The 21,339-nt window shown below is 43.2% G+C and overlaps 4 annotated features.

Moving 5' to 3' along the window:
• Window positions 3,217-3,727: an enhancer, noted in NCBI's record as "NANOG-H3K27ac-H3K4me1 hESC enhancer chr18:75609611-75610121 (GRCh37/hg19 assembly coordinates)". NCBI's record gives its function as "activates a minimal SCP1, AML or CMV promoter by ChIP-STARR-seq in naive H9 embryonic stem cells {active_cell/tissue: H9 hESC(naive)}" and the evidence as "EXISTENCE:reporter gene assay evidence [ECO:0000049][PMID:30033119]".
• Window positions 5,577-6,093: an enhancer, noted in NCBI's record as "H3K4me1 hESC enhancer chr18:75611971-75612487 (GRCh37/hg19 assembly coordinates)". NCBI's record gives its function as "activates a minimal SCP1, AML or CMV promoter by ChIP-STARR-seq in naive H9 embryonic stem cells {active_cell/tissue: H9 hESC(naive)}" and the evidence as "EXISTENCE:reporter gene assay evidence [ECO:0000049][PMID:30033119]".
• Window positions 5,832-5,951: a silencer, noted in NCBI's record as "silent region_9567". NCBI's record gives its function as "represses an Ori minimal core promoter by ATAC-STARR-seq in GM12878 lymphoblastoid cells {active_cell/tissue: GM12878}" and the evidence as "EXISTENCE:reporter gene assay evidence [ECO:0000049][PMID:35858748]".
• Window positions 11,549-12,320: an enhancer, noted in NCBI's record as "H3K27ac-H3K4me1 hESC enhancer chr18:75617943-75618714 (GRCh37/hg19 assembly coordinates)". NCBI's record gives its function as "activates a minimal SCP1, AML or CMV promoter by ChIP-STARR-seq in primed H9 embryonic stem cells {active_cell/tissue: H9 hESC(primed)}" and the evidence as "EXISTENCE:reporter gene assay evidence [ECO:0000049][PMID:30033119]".

Raw genomic sequence — 21,339 nt, forward strand, 5'->3', positions numbered from 1 at the left:
CGGGAGTGTTTAGGTCCACAGTTACAGTAAATGAAGATTCAGAATGAGCAGAACCATTTCACTTAATTAGAAATGTTAAATAAGTACTACGAATGTACATTAGTGTGTGTACTAAAACGAGAAAAATTGCTCACCCTGAAAAGCATTTTACTTATTTGCTTTTTTATTTGTTTACTTGTGTTATGTTTAGAAAACTATTAATATATCCCCCAACTAAAAGATAAAATAGGAGATGCATAATAATTGCAAATGCTTTTGTCTTTAGAATATATATGTGTATACACATATGCAAATCAATGCATATATCTGTGTATGTGTGTATATATGTTCACATATATGAATGTGTATATAAGTGTGTGTTTACATGTATGTGTGTGTATATGTGTGTCTGTGCATATGTGTGTGTATTGTGTGTATATGTGTATATATGGCATGTGCGTATGTGTATGCGTGTGTGCATAAGTGTGTGTCTGTATATATGTGTGTATGTATGTGTGTGTCTGCATATATGTGTGTATGTGTGTGTGTATATATGTGTGTTGTGTGTGTATCTGTGTGTATGTGTGTGTGTGTCTTTGGAGCTTAAGTACCCTGCGGGAATTAAAAGAAAAGATGGTTTTTACAGAGAGTGTTAAAGAGCTATTTTTCCTATATTTCTTTTCTTTGACATTATTTTTAAACTGTAATGTACTAATTCTAACAATTTGCAGTGATGATCAGAACACTCTGAGTTGGGGTTTGGTCAAGGGCTGACAGCATCCCTCATGAAATTTCCAGAAAGACTAAAGGAGAGGCTGGAAAGAGAAAAGAAGGGTGAAAGAGAGAGAGAGAGAAGCTGATGATAACAGTCTTCCCATGAGAGCTTTCAAAGGCAGCCATCAAGAGCATGGCTGCTGCCCTCATAATTCTGAACCTATAATGGGAGTGTTCGTAGATTCGCCTCTTGAGCATGTGAACTGGAATTTCTCAAATGAAGGGAGTAGCTCAGACACAGTTCTATTTTTAACGGCAAATACCATAATGTTTCTGAGACTGTATCACTGTGTTTTATGACCTCATCAAATCTGCTAAAGGAACAGAAATCAGCCCTGCCCTACATGTTCAACAGCATCGGCAGTCCTGAGTATCATCAAATAAGAAGCTTTGGGGCCACTGTTATTTAAATGGGTTTCGTTTAATTCTTTTATCGAGTTTATTTTCAGTTTTAGATATCACTGAAAAACATGGTAATCACAATTGATCGCATTGGGATCGGCTGCCGCATGATTTTGCTGTCATATCTTGATATGAGTTTAAAGCAGATGCCAAATAAACAAAATCTCTAAACAAAGCATTTCATCATCCCAATGCTCCATTAATAACAAAATTATCTTCTTCATCACTCAGGTCACATTTACTTTTCTTGGCTCAAAAATTTGATTAAATAGGTAATTGCAAGAATCAACATTTCAAATGCTCGCATGCATATCTATCTCCAAGTTCTTTGCAATAGCAGTTACAATTAGAAATCTTCATGATACAAGTGTTCTACCTGCAGTTACTGCAGAAGTCCTAAACCAATATGCTGTCTTCTAAATCAAGAGAATTATTTCCATATAAAGTATATCTATCATACACATAAAGAGATAGAAACTGAGCATAAAAGATAGAAGTTACCTATGCATAAAAATACTTAAAAGAAGAATTTCCATTTCAGTATTTAAAATGCATAGCCGGGCATTGTGGCTCACGCCTGTAATCCCAGCACTCTGGGAGGTTGAGGTGGGATCACCTGAGGTCAGGAGTTTGAGACCTGCCTGGCCAACATGGTAAAACCCCGTCTCTACTAAAAATAAAAAAATTAGCCAGGCGTGGTGGCAGGCACCTGTAATCAAGCTACTTGGGAGGCTGAGGCACGAGAATCACTTGAACCCAGGAGGTGGAGGCTGCAGTGAGCCGAAATCACACCACTGCACTCCAGCCTGGGCAACAGAGGGAGACTCCATCTCAAAAAAAAAAAAAGAAAAAAAGAAAAAAAAAGGGGGAAAGTGTCTTTCTCACCTTTAAGAATCTATAGGATGTTGAAGTTTTACTTTACTGCAAAAATTTTAAAAATGTGGATGTTTTTGGGGATAATTTGTTCTATAATGTTTACTATCTCAAAGCAAAAATAAAGACATTCACCTGATGCATGGCCTCACAAACTGGGACCCGTGATTGTGAGCAGGGTGAACAGGCTGAGGCCCACAAGCCAGTCTGGTTCTTCCCTGACTTTTCTAAGTGAAGTTTATCGGAGAATGGCTGCGCTCACCCACTGACATGGGGCCAGCGGCTGCTGTTGTTCTGCACAGGCGGGGTGAGTAGCTGCAGCAGAGACCACATGCCTGGCAAAGCCTGAAATATTTGAAACAGGCTGATTCCTGGCTTTGAGTGCAGATTATCAGGAAGACAGAGTTTCCACAATGCTGTCTTCTCTCAATGTGTTACCCAAGGGTAGCTCTTGGGGAAGGCTGTAGTCCAGAAATAAATGTTTCCTCAAGCACAAGAACATCAAAAATAAACTAGCTGCCAGTGATGGATCTCCCACTCAGCACCAGAGATATTACAAAGCATTTGCAAACACTCGTCGTTTTGGAGCAGGCAGGCCTGTGTTTTACATGCGAGAGTGAGGAGTGAGGCCCGGAGGTCAGGTCCTTGTCCTGGGTCTCCCGCCCACGAGCCTCAGATCTGGCTCTCATGCATTGGGCCATGACCAAACGTATTTATTCTCACATGCTTTAAGATACCAAAAAAACAAAACAAAATTATACTCCTTGATAAAATATGTATTCTAAATTTAATGAGAGGAAAATGAGGGCTTTAATTTTCTTCTTTTTGGGCAGTGTGCACACTGAGGCGGGCTTAGTCTGCTATCAAAATATGCAGCAGTGGGTTTATGTAGCTGAGAGGTCTGCTGAATTTTCACTCTTAACTAAGCATGCAAGATGAGTACCAAAATCATTACATTTATGTGTTTTTAATGGCTTGTCTGGGTTGTGTTTTGTCCACAGCTAGTGACGGAGCTGAGTGCCAGCCAAGTTTTTTAGAATTCACGCAGCTCCACTTCCACATCGTAATTTGACAAATACCGAGGGCTTCTGCCATTCCCCTGGTTATATTTCTGAGTCAATACACAGCAGTCAGCCGGCAGGGGATCTTCCCAGTCTCCTCCCATGGTAATGAGGCACCCACCTGGCCCAAGGAGCCTCCCACGCTGCAGGAGGGTGCACGTCGGGCGAAGACAGGGTGCTGCCTTTCACCTTAGAAGAGCTCTTTTGATAGACATGGTCTTCAAGGGAAGTGAAGTAAACCCCACCTCTGACAACTGTGGAGATTCTTGCGTTCCTTTGAGGGAAGCCCCCCGGCGGTGTTGCTAGACAGTACCCATTGTTTGTACCTGGCTATTATTTGTACTGAAGTTGTTAACAGAATCAACATATAGCCTGTGGTGTGGAAGTAGAGACACCCTTTGATATAGCAAAAGTTAAAACGGAATCAACCCTTAGGTTGGCAGAAGAGGGAATCCCAAACTTTCCATTTATATGAAAATGCACTTCTCCATCACAACCACCAGCCAACGGACCTCTGATCAGCTCTCTGATTTACATCTGAGTTTGTTAACCATGATGTTTTTGCTCTAAACACTTAAAATTTCAAATGCGATTTCGATGGAAATCCGAAGTTAGACAAGTTTGACTTGGTGATTTAAAACTATAAATCGCCTTATTTTTCTTTTAAAGAAGACAAGTTAAGAAAATATGAAGAATTTGGAAACACCATAGTAAATAAACTAAAATAAATATTTTGTGATTTTAGTACTGGTATACAATACAGTTTTTTACTAAACATATTTGATTTCTTTACTAGGTACACATATATTTGAAATTTCAATGTCAGTAATACAAAAACGTACTTCTAATTTTCTTAGGAAAAGACAAATTGCTGTTTTGAATATTTCACAGCTACATTGCAAAATACAAGTGACTGTAAATAAATCACATACAGGAAGACAGAGTATAGGCTATCCTGGGGGTAGGAAGAGTGTGATCTAATGTGCATTTGCTTTTCATCTACCATGAGTGGCTCCCACTCTTTGAGTTTGTCAGAAGAGCAAAGTAAACCAGGGAATGTTCTGGGATTGTGGCTGAACCACCCCAGAAATCTGGAGGGTTCTGATGAAAAGCAATCAGTGGAAAGGCAGACACCTTTTTTAAAATAATGGGGTCAATGGCTCTTATTTGTGAAAACAATTTATAGAAAGGGAACAAATGATACACAAGTTACGCAAAAAATATGTCACAGCCCATGATTGTACACATCACACCAAGATGAGCTCCCCAGGCAGAGAGCACACAGAGCCCCGTGTCCCTGACGGAAAGCCAGTGAGATCCAAAGGGCAGCTTTGGGAACAGTATTAAGCTTCGGTAGCCTGAAAAGTAATTGACAGAACTGTTATTATAGAATTAGTGGGACAAGAAATGAGTCTTCTATAGCACTATCACAAAAATATTGTTACGTATAAAAATTTATTGGTGCATGCTTAAAAATTAGTTCAACTTTCCCTCAGATTCAAAATAGTTCAGTATAAAGGAAAAAGAACTTCCAATAATTAAAAAATATATTTATGACAATCACTATAGACTAAGTGGTTTTTATTTTTCTTTACAATATTTACTATAAATGTATAAATATTTATGGTAATTGTACTCTTTGCTTATATGTGTGTGTGCAATAAGCAATAAACCTAGTGTTAAAACTTTAGTTCTGTTAACATTTTTTGAGAAATTTTTCAACAGTTAAAAAAAGAATATTCTGTTTGAAGCATCTTAATCGGTGACGACACTCAAATAGTTGTCATGGCTTTGAAATTTAAAAAATCAGTTTCAATATTTTCTTTGTTTCTTTCTTTCTTTTTCTTTCTTTCTTCTTTCTTTCATATCATTTGCGAGGTACAGAGCTTGGATATTTGGGTATTTTTATGTTGATCATGTGTTTTAAACTACTGGGGAAAACCTGTAAAACATTACTTGTTAATTTCTATGGACAGAAAAGGGCTATATATATTATATTATATTATTATATTATATTATATTATATTATATATATATATTTCAAACATGAACGGATACTTAAACCAGTAGAAATAAATGTTTAAATCAGAAGACTTTTGTTACCTGCCGTTTTGTTTTCTAAGATAGTTTTTATAGGTGCTGGGCACATTTTGATGGCTGCTTTTCATTAGCAGTCTCTAGATGCCTAATTTCCTCTTCATTTTTCCCCAAGATACTGCACAGGGCTTCTGCAAATACAATTGTTATTGGACTTAAAGGGTGATCTTTGCCTTTTCACTGGAAAACAGCCATTTGAGGTTACGTGACCCATGCAATATATTGCACCTTCAAGCGCCCCAACTCTCTCTTCGCCCTGATATTTTCAGATCCTGAAAGCATGTGTCTAGTGCGCGGTGGTCCCAGGCCACTGCTGCAGACACTGTGGCCCCATGGCCCGCGGGGAGGAAGGGGCTGCGCGGCCCACAGCCCGAGCCTCCCCTCTACCCTCTCCAGCTGAGCCCCGAGGAGGCCGCTGCTCCGTGTCCTGGACTCTGAGCAAAGCCGCGGGCCTTAGACCCTCCCCAGCCTCAGGCGAGCCCCAGTGCCGACACCTGCTAAGAGACGGTGCATTGCGGGCTAAACCCGCAGACACTGAGCGGGGACGCCACTTCCGACGGCGTAAGGCACCTAAAGTAGCCACAGAGGAAACTGGGGGTGCAGGAGCTGCAGGAGCCCCGGCGGCCTGCAGGGGCGGTGGCGCGGCGCTGGGCGCGCGGCCGCTAGATGGCAGCGCAGCCCCGGCCCGGCCCGCGGGAGGCGGCCACGCGCGGGGGACGCGGGGCGCGGCGCGCTGAGCGCGGGTGCCGAGGCTGGAGGGCGCGGCCGGGCTCCCGAGTCCTCCCTCCGCGGCATCCTTGTCTCCACCCTCAAATGTCCTGCAAGCCAGGAGCCTCCGTAGGAACCGCTGCATTTTTATTTTCCTCTAAATTTCACACAGGTGAAGCCTGTGTTTGAATCACTGAGAGGAGATTCAAATGAGGTTCCTGACGGGGTAGCTGCTCCAAAGAATACCAGTTTCCTCTGCGAGGAGAATCGCGCCCCTTGGCAGGAAGCCACAGCCCGGCCCTGGGACCCGGGTTCCAGGTGCAGACGGCGCTGGCTGGGGTGCGGGATTTCGGAGTCAGATTTTTACTGGGAGCCTGACTGCTTGTTGTTGTCTTGATCTATTTCTGAACAATGTCCAGATAAAAGACACTGTACTTAAAATAATTTGAGAAACTTGAACTATATATTGCACTATTTTTTTTTCTCTCAGAGCATAAATAGGTGTATGGTTCTCTCTCTCTATATATATATACATATGTATATACACACACATGTATAAACACATATGTATTTCTTTAAATTATGTCTATAATTTAAATATATAGTATATGAACAATATATAATATATATCTTATATATTATAAAAAATCTAACTACAAATCTTCCCACTCAAAGTCATTAAAGCATTGTATATAGATATAATTTAAAGACATTGATTGATATTTTCTTAGTAGCATTAAATATGTGCCCTTTGAAGGCTTTTTTTTTTTAATTGCCAAAATGTCATCAGTCTCATTCCAAGGTTGCAAACACTCACTGCTCATAATTGTTTGAAAAGTAGGCTGGGCGCGGTGGCTCACACCTGTAATCCCACCACTTTGGGAGGTTGAGGTGGGCAGATCACTTGAGGTCAGGAGTTCGAGAAAAGCCTGGCCAACATGGTGTGAAACACATCTCTACTGAAAATACAAAAATTAGCCAGGTGTGGGGGCGTGTGCCTGTAATCCCAATTACTTGGGAGGCTGAGCAGGAGAATCGCTTGAGCCCTGGAGGCGGAGCTTGCAGTGAGCGAGATCACGCCACTCCACTCCAGCCCAGGCAACAGAGCAAGACTCTGTCTCAAAAAACAAACAAACAAAAAAACAAACAACAACAGAAAAACGCCAATATCATTACAAATCCTCATCACATAGTAAATAAGACATGGTAAATAGTAGACTTTATACTGTGTACAATTTTAATTTATGCAAAATATAAAGTTGTCCATTACCGTGATTTTGATCCAAGGCCTTCAAACACTCTCATTATTAGTAGCGTCTGTTAGACTTCACACTGTTTTCTGCTGCATGCTGTCTAGGCCTCACAAGTGGTTTTAACGCAGGAAAACTGTTGCTAGAAGTGCTAACTGATTCTTTTAGAGCTTTGATTAGAGCAATTATATTAAATTGAAAAAGTATGCTCTCTTCAATGAGTTATTTAAAAATATAAGATAGCCTCCTTGGTCCTAATCTTCACAGGAATGAAACATGCGTGTAGAATACCTGTGAGCTGAAACATTGATCATGGGAGTGACACCCCTTGTTTCAATTCTCCACTGCTGTGCGTGTTTCATGCCCCAAGATCCTCGAAACAAAAATGATCTTACCTGGTTCTGCCTTATGTAAAGCAAAATATAAATACCTTGATGTGTACATCCAGATATGTACACCTATGGCCTATGCATTCCTCATGTCTTGTCAAGTATCTTTTTGGAATTATTTAGTTAAAATACAAAATAACACAATTCTTTCATATTTCATTTTTTCAAAAATAAATTCTTCTTCAAAAATTTTGTTCTGGAGTCGTGTTCTGAGTAATGTTATTGCTTAAAGCTTGAATAGTGCTAATTACCAAAACCAAACAGAATGCTACTAAGGTATAAATTATGAAGGATCTTTATGGCTTTTGCAAATACAGTTGTTATTGGACTTAAAGGGTGATCTTTGCCTTTTCACCGGAACACAGCCATTTGGGTTTACATAACACAAATATTTTCAACAAGCTATATGCAGTTTGTAGGCCCTGGGTCCATAGACACATTATCTGGACACCAGTTGGGGGTTTGTGTGGAATAGTGGATACACTCCTACCATGAGGCAGCCTGCAGAGCACTTTGGGCCTGCCTGGGGTCGACACCTGAGTCATTTTCTGAGGCCATGCAATTGGTGAATACAAGGACATTGAGGGTTTCAAAGACTGATTGCTTAACCTTTGCTAATGTTTCCTCCTGACCACTGTGATTCTTGCAAAGCTCCCTTCGCAAAGCTGAGCTGAGACCTGGGTGTTGGCGGAAGGTCAGTGGGACCTCTTCTGTGGGCAGCAGGAACCCTGATACTCCCTATCCTTCACAACCACCACTGTCACTCACCTCTACCTGTCAATCATTGCTGACTGATAATTGTCTCACAATGTATTAAATCCATGATTATTTATGGAAAAAACAACAAATGTTTATAGTGTCATTCACAGTAGGCTGCCTTTACAATTCAACCTGAGGCAGTCCAGTGGTCATAGCATTTGGTCTTTCCACACCTGTACCAGAGGTGGCAGCTACACAGAGATTTTCAGTGTCCTCAATTCTATCCCTCCTGCCTATGGATGATGTGAAGGTCATGAACATTCGGCTCTGGAACAGCAGAGAATAATGCTAGGCAGGGATCCTTCCAGTGGCCACAGCAGGAGCACACTCAGACAGAAACTGCTGATTTCTGGCCTTTCCAAACAGTCAGGTGCTCACACTCAGCAAATGCAATGATCATTTCTACCGAACAATAAGCTGTACTGCTGAATATTATTTTTTTCTAATGACTCATTATCCTGGAATGATGAGGAGATGAGTAGAATATAAGTGTATTAAAAACATAATTGTTTTTCTATTCAAACAGAAGCGCGCCATGCTTCTGTTTCGCATGCGGGAAAACGCCTAATGAATAGGAGAATCTTTGCACCTTTCAGTTTGCGGCAGTGCTGGCCCCTAAATGCGTCTTTAAAATCCTAATTGCTTTTAATTCCATCCGTTACCTGATGATTTCTTTGGCCGGAGCACGTGCTTTACTGTCTATCCTACTCTGCTTTTTCCAGCAGTATTGCTTCCAAGTGCCATGCAGTTACACACAGTTATTTATGACATCTTTATCAACGTAGATATGGGCATTGATATAAATAGTTTGCAAATATTGAGGGAAAAAATAGCTTAACAGTGTGTTAAACTGGGCAAATTCTATGTACCAATGATACATACACATATACATGGATATACACACATATATATATTTATATGTGTATACCATGAGTACATAGTGTGTATATACACGTATCTATACATAATACATATATAATAGTATACATACATTACCTATATATAAGTTTAAAAACCATGTATATATATAAAAGTTCAGTAATGCTCAATTTTAATTGAGTACACAAATGTTATCTATGTAAGTTATTAACACCCATAAAGTTAGAGTGAGCACACACACCTGCCTGCTTGTATTCTCCAAGCACATCACCGGGAAGCAGTAATTTCCTAGGATTACAGAGGCACCCAGGTAAGACCACCAGAGCCGCGAACAGTGGGGAGGTCCTCCATGTGCGCAGACATCTCATCGCTGGTGTTATTCTGCATAGTAGGGTTCCCAAGGACTGGCATTTCTCTCTAAACTGAATTTAAATAAACTTTATCTGGTGTTTACAAACAGGGCTACTGTTTGTAAACACCAAGCTTGTTCATTTGCTCCTGGGTATCTGATAATCCCACTGGTGCAGATGTGCATCTTTCCCCAAACTCCTACCTTACCCACAGTACCCACAGCTTTTTACCTTTGTTTATTGCATCTGCCTCTGTCCTGGTCAGCACTATGTGCCATTGTTCCAGCAGGCATTCCAGCGAAATCAGGTCCTTCATTTCTTGGCTTGATCGTTTCAGACCAGGCCACGCCTGTTCCTGAGCTGCCGCTATGAAGCATAGCTGATTTCAAGTACTATTAAAATTAGAAATAGCACAAGATCCGTGCACAATTCATTTAACTCATTTATTCATTCCATCTTAAATACATCTATAACTAAATACATACCCACTAAGTCCCTTTACCTACATCTATTTCAATTTGATGCTTTAGCACCCTTCTTTGAATTCCTGATATTTTGAGAAAGCAAGGAATAATTGATAAAGTTTAGAAGTGATTCTAGGATCTGCGAGATTCTCTTAGGTCATGTAAATTCTGAATGCTCATGGATGAGTTTAAGGGAAACATCGGGTCTAGAAAGCTGTTCTGAGCACAGAATAGACAGGGTTAATCCCTTCAGCCCTCATCTGAAAGAAGTGACAATGAGAAAGATAATAGTTATACAGTGAAACATCATTATATAATTACTGCATCTAATGTTTCCCTGCGTATGATGTTCAAGTTCAGAAATCTCAGCCAGGGGCCCATAAAACAATTCTTGCGTTTTATGTTTTTCTGCTTATGCTGTTTTATTTCACTCTTTTGGGAAAAAATGTAAAAATAATTTACTGAAGTGATAATTAGCGCTTATAAAGCACTTTGTAACCTGTGACACTCTGCAAATTGCTACCAGAGGATGGTTATAGTTGTCTAAACACTTTAGTGCACAGGGAAACTGAGGGAGACACTTACTTTGTAGGCTGAAAGTTCCTTGAGGGCAAGGACTATATTGTAGTGAAATTTGTAGACCTCATTAGACCTAACACGGCCATGGAGGAAGCTCCATAGGAAATGCTAGTGGATTCAAACTGACAGGGAGGTGGCCCACCAGCCAGGGCCTTGCTCTGCAGTGTGAGGGTGCGCAGAACGCAGGGGGCCGGGGCGCCTCCCAGCCTGCGCAATGGTCTTGATGGGTGGCCCTTGGGATCACTGGGATGCTGGCTCTCACACCGGCCCCCGAGGGGGGCTCCCCATTTTCCAGATAAGAAAATCAACGCCCAGCAAAATCGAGCAAGTTGTGCCACATCGCACAGTGGGAACGGGCAGGATGTTCAAACTGCAAATTTTCTTTGCCCCCTGCCTGCAGAAACACCGCATGGGAATTGTTCTTAACCCCCAAGGGCCGCCTCTTCCACCTGCTCTGGGTGCATTGGTGTGGGGCCGCCTTGCAGAGGCCACGGACGCCTGGATGGACAGGTGGAAGGTGGAAGGGGAGGGAAGGGGGAGGACGTCCTTGTCTCCTGCCTTCTCCATCTCCACCCTGCGCGTGGCTTCTGCTCTCTGGCGTGAACCCTGCCAGGGGGTTCTGCCTCGGCGTTGTGGGGTCGGGGGTTCACCCTCACGCCTTGCTCCTCGCCCCTCACACCACCCATGGCCAGCCAGGACCAGGGGCATCCACACTCGGCCTGGCCTCGGCAAAGGCTGGGGGACCTCCCTTCCACGGCCTCGCGTCCACGCAGGATCAGCCTCCCCTGCAGGGCCTTCTCCCCGCGCCCCTGTCGCCGTCTGGAACCTCAGGCTGGCTGGGCGGGTCTCTGTCACAAACCACCTGCTCGCTGCTGCCCAGCGCCGCCTGGGCACTCCTGAGACCGGGCAGGCCTCACCCGAGGGCCTGAGCTGCACCCACGCCTCCGGGAGTCCAGGTGCCACGGGCGGGAGCTGGGGCAAAACTTGGGATGTGAGCAGGGTTTGCTTTGGTTCTGGCAAGTAGGTATGTGCATGACACACGCACCTGTGCGTGCCCGCGCCTGAGCATAACGGCAGAACGCTGCTTTTGATGAACATTTCCCTCCCTGAGCAGCTAACTGCCTGTAAGTGTGTTTCGATCAGATTCAGTGAATATTCTTGGGAAATCCCCCCCCGCATACACACACACACACACACAGGCACACACACAAATGCACACACACAGGCACATGCACGCACACACATACACGCACACAAGGCATACACACACTAATGCGCACACAAACACAGAAGCGCGCACACACACAGAACACACACACAGGCACGCACAAACACAGGCACCCGCACACTCACAGGCACCCGCACACTCTTGGATTCATCCAGCTTCAGCCTCCTCCCTGCGTAGGAGCGACCTTAGCGTGGACATTTGGTGACTCTCCCGGGCGTATTCTGCTTGCTGAGCCCTGTTAACGCCCATCCCAGTGGGAAGCTCTTAGCATGCATTTCATTCTAGTTCCTGTTTTTCAAGTAAATCACGCTCAGATTTACTGGCTATGGCTTTCTCACAATTTATGTGTCTTCTTCTCCTTTTTAATGTTCGCAGTACACTTCAGAACGCAATGGATCGTTTTCCCCAGAGTCAGGTCCATCCTGGGCAGAAGGTTAGACGTTTATGGAGTGGTATCAGCAGCGGAAGAGCCTTTCAGAGGCCGCTGTGTGCTTCTGGGTGGAGCCATCGTGCTTGTGCTGTAAATCCAGGTTCAGACACCTTGAAAGATGCCACATCCGAGACACCATCAACACTGCATGGGGGAATTTTAGGGTTTTGTGTAACATGACGTAAGTGTTTTGACTTGGGGCACTTAGTCCCCGTGAGAGTTCCCACATAGGTGGGCAGCTGAGATTGCAGCGCTGTCCGGGGCATACGGTGTCTCTGCCCTCACTGACCTCTGGTCGGACATTCTGGCTATCAAGCTCTGGGATGAGCACAGCGTCTTACAATAAATATTTGCAGAAATAGATGGGGAATGCAATTCTCTCTTATTCTGTATGCACAAAATAGCAACCATTTAACTGTTAACTCTGTTTTAATAGTGCCTTGAGATGAATTTAAGAAAAATACACTTCAAATGTAACATCACTGTCATACATAATGGATAATGATGGTGCTTCATTTGTGCTGAGATATATTAGAGTAGTTAGGACAAAAGTGCACTGGAAATGCCAGGCGGAGCCTTTCTGTTTGCACACATTTATCTCTATACATATTTATATATTTTCAAATTGTGTGATACTCTGGGAATGAGAGAATCATGTTTTCTGAGTTATAAAACATTTCCATTTATTTAAAATATAAAGAGAATTTGGTAATAGCACGCTAAGAAAGTTAACCTTTATCTTCTGCCTCATTTTAAAAACATAAAAAATTATTATATTTCAATGTCAAATGAATTTACTGTCATTATAAAGTAAAAATTGTTATTACATTCCTATAACTATTTTAGCAGTGATATGTGTGGACTCAGTACCTCCATGTTTTGTTAAGTTATATATACAGATATCATTATATAGAGATAAATATATGCATATATATGTGAATTGTATAATGGAATACATGTTATTTGTTTATAATTTACTTTTACCAAACTGTAAAAATAAAAATATGTGTAGTGAAAAATCGATACAATCCTAAAATAAGAGATTTTAAAAAGTAATCAAGGGCTTTAGATATTGTAATTTTTCAGAGCTCAAGGAAGATATTTTAAATCTGTTTGGAATGTATTTAAATCATAGATTATATTGGCCTTTTAATTTGCTTATCTGACTTCAGGACTTCCATCAGCAGAGCACACTTTGGGTTTCACCAGTGGTTGTTGGAGGAGAGCTGTGCCCACACTGGGTGTAATAGCCCTGGAGTGGGGACGGAGCAGGTGCCCTCCCGGGCATGTGCAGCGGCACCTGTGTGGGAGGGTGGCCTCCCTGAGCACAGGATGTCCTCCAGGTCACCCCCATGAGAAAATGATGAGCCGAGGAGAACCATGTACAGCTTAGCTCCACGTTCAGCTGCTAGAGACTCAAGTTCAGAGTCTTACTGCGTGACAGAGGGGAAAGGCATCTTTAGTCGCTTCTCTCCATCTCTGCTGTTCTTGATTCACAGTCTGTGATGTGACCGATAGAACATCTGACCAACAGGGACACCAGTGTCATGAGGGTGCTCTGTCACCTGGGGAGACCCACCCCCAGAACCTTCACCTGGGCAAAGACAAGGTGAATCCTACGACGGCTTTCACCTGTGTGCTTATAGCCTCCTGTCAGAGAAAAGCTAGGCCTCACACTGAAAACATGCATGGGAGCTTAGGGTAAGATGAATGGGAACATCTGAAGGGAAAATATCTCCATGAAAACAGCTTGCGTTTCTTTTATTCTACAGATTAGAAACACTGAAGTCGCTCTCACCCTGAAGGAGTCCTTGATAGAGAAGACAGAACAAGTAAGGGACAGGAGAGGCTGCTTTATGCCAAGTGCGGCTGGACGGGAGCCCCTTTGAAAGGATTTTAGGATTTCTCTGGGTTTTGCTCTTCCGGATGATATTAAGAGCCAAGTTCAAGGCAGCCTCCATGCAGCACATGAGGCAGTATCATGACCCAGCCAACACCTCGGAGGTTCACACCAGCTATTTTATTCCTTGTAATGACGCTGAATGACCCAGTATCTTGTAAAATGAAATTGAAATCTGCAGCGAGGCAGTACTTCTGCTATTAAAATGATTTTTTCTTTGTAATGGAGCACTGCCAGTCCAACCATTTGTGAATTGCAATTAAAATCTGAAGCCGGCAGCACTTTTGCAATTAAAACTGGCATATTTTTTTTTAAAAAAAATTCTGCACCAATCTAGATAATTAGACAGGAACTAAAATACTCGTTTATTACGCATATGGACATGTATGAGGAAATAATTTGAAATTTATTATTCAAAATATTCTCTTTTTAACGAGGATTATGCTAAATGCTGTGCCAAAACAGATTGTTTTCATATTCCATACAATTGAACCTATTTGAGAGAATTGGTATTAGATGTTTACTCACCAGTTTGTTTATATTTTTCTTTATTTTTGTCATCTTTTTTTACATCCTTTGTTTTGGTCATAAATTATGACCGTGCTAAAGTTGTTAGAAGATCTAGGAAAAATGGCCAAAATCTTAGGACGTAATCACATGGGGATTTTCTTTGCTAATCATTTAAACACACTTTCTGAATCAGTTGGTAGCAGAGTTGTAAGTAGATTCTGCTGGTGACAATTTCAAGAAACATCAGAGTCATCTTCACTAAGTTGAATGTATGCTTCTCAAAATACCTTCTCAGAAAGTACCTCTGACAAAGAACCAGTAAAATCCTCACGATAAATTCTCTCTCTGATGATGTTTAACCTCCAGTCTGCAGGAAGAAATGTTTGAGACAATGCTGTTGGTCACATCTGAAGACCGTGATGAATCATAGAATGTTGTTTCTTGACTGATAATCCTCTTAAGGGTTTAGAAAATTTTCACTGAGAGTTCATATTCACCTCCACACTGTTGCATACATTTTGTTTATTCAATACTTGTATAAAAACCTGTAGTACCTTGATGTAAACTCTGTGTTTTTACACGGTAACTTCTCTTCATTGGATTCCCTCTTCAGGTGAAGTCATACTATAAATTATGATTTTTTTGGTGTCTGGCATTTGAAAGATAGTACAGAATCAGGAGGCTGGAAGCTGTGTCATTCAGTGGACCACAGAAAGAACCTAGGGCAAAGCTAGTTTTTTCTTTTTCTCATCAGAACGCATGATCTGCATTTTTTCCTCCAGTCTGAACATTCTTATGATCTAGTTTCTCTATCTTAAAAAATCTGGATTTGCACATTCTATTCCACAAATAAGTCGCTTGTCTTTGCCTTGGGGTCTCTGCCTCCTCACTTGTAAACAGGAGACGTTAGCCATGACCATCGCCAAGCTCTGCTCTCACTCCATGCTCTTGTGACTCCCTCTGGGCACGCGAAGATCTCGCCTGTCATAGTATCCGGGGACACTTCCTGAGACCATGAGCCAGTGGAGACTCCTAAGTGAGACACAGCCCTCAGAGGTAGAATTTTATCTACTTTGTACATTTTCCAAAGAGGGAAAATATTTTAAAAGAGATGTTTCTAAATAACCCCATGTTAAACCATTTGGGCCACTGAGTTTATGGGTAGGTTTATCACTAGAGTGTAATTAGGACTAGAAAGATCGTGTGCTGAGGACCTGGATGGTAAGAAACACAAGTCCAAGAAGATGTGCGCAGAAAACAAAATGTCAACCGGCAGGCAATGAGGCCCCCGTAGCAGCCACCTGCGGTCAATAAACGTGTTACCCGACTCGCGGGGATTGGTAGAAATAAAAGTTTTAGAATTCAAAATGCCACTGTGAACCTGGTCGCTCATTGACCACCTGTTTAAAATATACCCGAGCTGTACAGGAGCAGGAGGCCCGTGCAATCCCAGCCCGGTTGTGCAACTCTGCAGTCATTCCACGTGCCGGCTTCCTCGTGTGAACAGAAAGCACCTCTTCTCGTTAGCCCGCCTTCTTGAGAGTGGCCTGGTACTACAGGCATTTTTTCACCTAGTTATCTTATCTTGCTCTGAATTTACAGAATTAGAAATACAAGGCATAATGGTTGGAACACTAACTCCCTGATTTACTAAATCTGTACCTTAAATTAAAATAAATAGATTTAACTCCCATTTCACGATTTTCACTTTTGCTATCCCAGGGACTTCTCCAGGTTTATATTTTCTTTAATTGAGCTATAACTCATGTATCACAGAATTTACCCATTCAATGTGTACAATTCGGTGTTTTTGATATATTCGCAGCTGTGCAGCCATTGCCACAATCTAATTCTAGGGAATTTCCATCTCCCCAAAATAAGCCCTTTTCCCAGTAGGCAGTCATCCCATCCCCGTCCCCCAGTCCAGCCCTCCACTAACCTGCTCGCTGTCACCGTGGAGCTGCGTATTCTGGACGTTTTGTGTAAATGAACTCGTAAGTGACTTTATGTCTGCCTTCCGATATGACTTCATTTTTCCCGGGTATCTAGTTTAATTTTCCTCACGATCCCTCTCTTCTCTGGATCTGCAGCCTCTCCTATGTGAGAAGCCAGCACAGTTGTCTTCTCTTACTGGTGTGAGTTTCCTCTAAGGACACAGCTTCACGAGCTCACCACACAGCAATGCTGCTTGCTGCTGTTCTGACAAACTCCGTCTTCCCTTTTTCCAACATTTTCCATGGAAACTTGCGTCGGCTCACTCTGGAAAGCAACATGCCTGTCTGTGGGCTGAGATACGGAGACCTCCCTGATCTATAAAGGATTTCTAGACCTCCGCAGCATCCCCTGGGCAAGCCAAGCCTGAGCGTCCCCAGAAAACCACTGGGGACCCTTCGGGGTCCATCAGGCCTTCGTGTAAAAGAGACGACCTATTCCATAAATAAGGTCCCATTCAAATATCTTCTTTGCAAATATATTAAAATTCCAGAGATCTATTAGAATATAAAGTACAGAGGAAGGAATATTTCTTCTCCAAACAGAAGAAAATAACATTTAAAGGGCGGGTATTTAGCACTGCTTTGGGTTTTTGGAGTGGGAGTAAGTGACCAGTATTTAAAACAAAGGCTTGTCTCTTAAGAAGAAGAACAGAATGATAAAGGAACCCCGCGTAGACAATAAATGCACGTCTGTTTACAGCTCTGGGCCTCGGCTCTTTCTGGGATGTTGACATTCGCACGTTCTGGAGTGACCCAGATGCACTCTACTCATCAAATTTCTATCAATACTAATTTACTAATATCAATAATCGTCCGTTTCCCAGTGGATCGGTGCTCCCAGGCAGGGGCGACGTGCTCCTTGCAGCTCCCTGAGCTCTTCAGCGTAGGTGTCAATAAAACTGACGGCTGCTCTCAAGCTATTGACAGTTATTAAAAATGACCTTGATGTAATTTCATGCCTATCAAAACAAAGAGCATATGCTGAGGATTATGAAAAGCTGCGGCGGAGGAAAGTGCTGACAGCCTGGAACCGATGGGCAGGATCGCTCCGCAGCTCTGACGAGTATTGGTTTTCTTGGCCTCTCCCCGCTTCCCTGGAATACTGTATGCTCCCGGGTGGGGGCACCTGCTCTCTGGAGGGCTTAATTGCAGCTATTTGAGGCCCTCCTGTGTTTTGCAAAGGGCTGCCGTAGCACACCATCTCGACAGTTAATGTGGTGTAAAATATCATAAGCGCCGCTGAAGACCTTTGAATCCATACGGCACGGCTGATCAATACGTCCTGGTGGACACCCTGCCTCCCAGTATACAGAGGGCAACATATCAAGAGCACTCTCCCAATTCTTCTCCCACTTTGTCAGGGCATTGATCTGGCCGGTGTGTAAAAGCCTGCTTTCCTCTCCAGCTGTGCACCGGGGCTCCGTGGCAGTTTCAATAGACAGCCCTTGTATGCAGAGTTGAAAAGCTACACAGTGTGAATATTCAGTAGCCAAATAGTTTATTAATAATTGTAAGTAACGCTCTGAAATGCCCCCGTCTCTCTGTATGCACAGAACAATTGTGTTGAGCAAACGCATAAAGGCAGTCTAAAACAAAGCAATTATTAAGAACATTAACTGCTTTAAGATGAACTAAACTGCATGTCTTTCTGTGGAGTGACCAAAATGTGGAACCGCTTTGTATACTTCTATCAAGTCCTATTAAGACACATTCCCATCATCTTGATGGGCTTTTTCATATAGCAGACGACAGGCTGCATACCATTAAGCTTTCATATTTAAAGACAACCTACTCTTTCCAAAATAAAACTGCCGCACCTCTGGCTTCAGCTAGTCAATGTCATTCTCTTCCTTTTTAATAGGTATCCCTAAAATTGTAAGGACTCTTCCAGGAATTTTCCTCACTTGTATCTAATAACAATTTGTTCTGCTTTAACTTCTTCAGTGGACAGCAGTGATGGTTTGGAGCAAATTCAGAACAGTTTTTTACCTTTGGGATTTATAATTGATTGAGACTAAAAAGCAAAACAAACAAAACAAAACAAATTCCATATCAGAAATGCACACTGCTGGTTGGTAACACCAACTGAGCATAGACTTTAGAAGTTTGTTTGTTATTTTCCTTCTTTTACTTTTGACAATTATCTGTCTTTATAAAATTGGAAATGTCTTCGGTTTTTATTATTTTATTGTTGATGAATTCCAAACGATTATTCCATATGTGTGTAGCTAGTTCACCTCTGTCAGCCAATTACATATTTTAAAGACCTCTAATAATTGAGCATGTAGAGTTGCGATTATCACGGAGTGAGACACGTAGGGCTAAAAAAACAGCTGTTGGTCTTTGCCTTTTAAAGTAGAGCGTGTGTGTGTGTGCATGTGAGTTTTGCTATAACTCAATGGTTTCAAAACTCTTTAATGGCATGTTACACGTAGAATTTTTTTTTTTTTGAGACAGAGTCTCTCTCTTGTTGCCCAGGCTGGAGTATGGTGGCACAATCTCGGCTCACTGCAACCTCCACCTCCCGGGTTCAAGCAATTCTCCTGCCTCAGCTCCCCTCTAGTAGCTGGGATTACACCCAGGTGTGCACCACCATGCCCGGCTAATTTTTGTATCTTTAGTAGAGACAGGGTTTCTCCATGTTGGCCAGGCTGGTCTCGAACTCCTGACCTCAGGTGATCCACCTGCCTCGGACTCCCAAAGTGCTGGGATTACGGGCATGAGCCACCAGACCCAGCCAGAAATTCTTAATACGAATTGTCAAATATGGCAATTATCAATTATCATACTATGAAATACCAAACACAATAGAAATGTTGGAACCTGTTTGAAGCCTTCCAGGTGCTGGGTGGGTGCTGGGCGGGTGCTGGGCGGGTGCTGGGTGGGTGCTGGGCGGGTGCTGGGCAGGTGCACCTGGCTGCTGGGGATTGGGGCATTGACCATTGTGTGCTCTGCTCTCATCAGCTAAGACCCCGGTGACTGTGGTCTTTACCTGTGCACCCCAGCGAAGCCACAGACTTCCACAGTCTGCAACCCCAGACCCACCTCCATAACAGCTTCATTTAGGGATGGTTGAAAAGCTTTGCCCTGAGTAACTCCAGAGAGTTGACAATGGCTGCTTGGTCAGGTGTTGAGGGACACTGGGAGACACAGCAGCCACAGGGGCCCAGTGTCAGTGAATTAATGGAATCTAATGATCTGTGGCTGCCAAAAAATATAGTGGCTTAAAATAGTGTCGATTATTATCCCTTGTGGTGTCTAAGAATAGAAAATGTAGGAATGCCTTCACTGTGCTGTCCTTGCAGAAGGTCTCTCATGCGGCTGGATGGTAGCAGGAGCAGACAGAGAGCTCTCAGGCACATGGGACCGGCCAGCCTCACTCTTTTCTTGAGGCCCTGATGCCTCTCAATGCGTCTACTCTGCATAGCTAATCTTGATTTTCTCGCAGCACGGAGGCTCAGGTGGGTGAGACCTCTCACCAACTCAGGCTCCGGCGCCAGCATTCCAGCAAACCAGGTAGAGCCTGCACTTGCCTTTGATGAGCTTGCCAGGGAAGTCACATCACGTATTTACACCATCTGCCAATGGCGGTCCAATGCCTACGTTCAGCCCATATTCAAGGGGAGGACACTCCCCAGCAGTTGATGGGCAGAGGGATGTCAAGAAACGTGTGGACTTCTTTTAAAAGCACCACACATGGAGAGGAGAAGTAGTGGTGGGTGCCATAGGTTCATCATTTCTGGCTGCGCTTCTGTTTAGTACAACCCACACGGGTCCTGATAATTATTTCTGTTGCCCACACAACAGGTGGGTTCGATAGCTTGGCGAGCGACAAGCCAGTCACCACAACCAAGGAGGCTTTAACAAGGGGATTGTATCACTTGTAACAAGTCAGGAGAACACCAGGGAGAGCTCCCAAAACAGCGCCTCCCGAACACGGTGACACAGGGCTTCTCCTGGGCTTGTGAGCTGAGTCACCACGTGCAGAGGTGGAGCGGAGGCAGGGGAGGCCATCACCGATCATGCCTCTTCATGCATCGAATGTGTAGAACATGGCAGAGAAGCTCTTCCCTGGGCCAGGTTTTTAGAATGGTAATGAGGGGAGTTCACCACAGTGATGAGGGGAGTTCACCACGATAGTGAGGGGAGTTCACCACGGCGACGAGGGGAGTTCACCACGGCAATGAGGGGAGTTTACCAATGTTCATCTCCAACTCAGGGGTCTCCTGATCCAATCGGTTTGTATTCTCCTAGGGCTGAGCTTCTTCCTGGAACTTTTCTGAAACAACAAAAACTCAAATGCAAGAGTTACAAGTCACCCGGAGACCTGGGTTTAGGTTTCTACTGAAGCACAGGAACCAGGACCACATCTTTACATTGGAGACTCTTGCCCCAATTTAATTCGTGGCAGGTGAACCAGACACTCTGTGTTTGGTGGGAAATGTTAATGACATTCTACCTAAAACCCCAACAGCAAGGCTGGCCTCCTTTTTTGCCCCTGCCCCACAGAATTCATCTGTCACCAATTTGAGACTTCCTGTAAATTCTTACATCCCCACTCTGAAAAACAGCAAGTGAAATGGGTGTCTTAGAAGCTGGGAAACAGCTTTTAAATAGAAATGGGCAAAATGAGGAAGGTGAACAAGTGAGCCAATTCTCCCCTGGATAAACGTGGCCTTCAGGACTGCACATCACGGGAAGAAGTGGCCCAGG

Source organism: Homo sapiens, chromosome 18 (genome assembly GCF_000001405.40).
Source record: "Homo sapiens chromosome 18, GRCh38.p14 Primary Assembly".
Classification (NCBI taxonomy): Eukaryota; Metazoa; Chordata; class Mammalia; order Primates; family Hominidae; genus Homo; species Homo sapiens.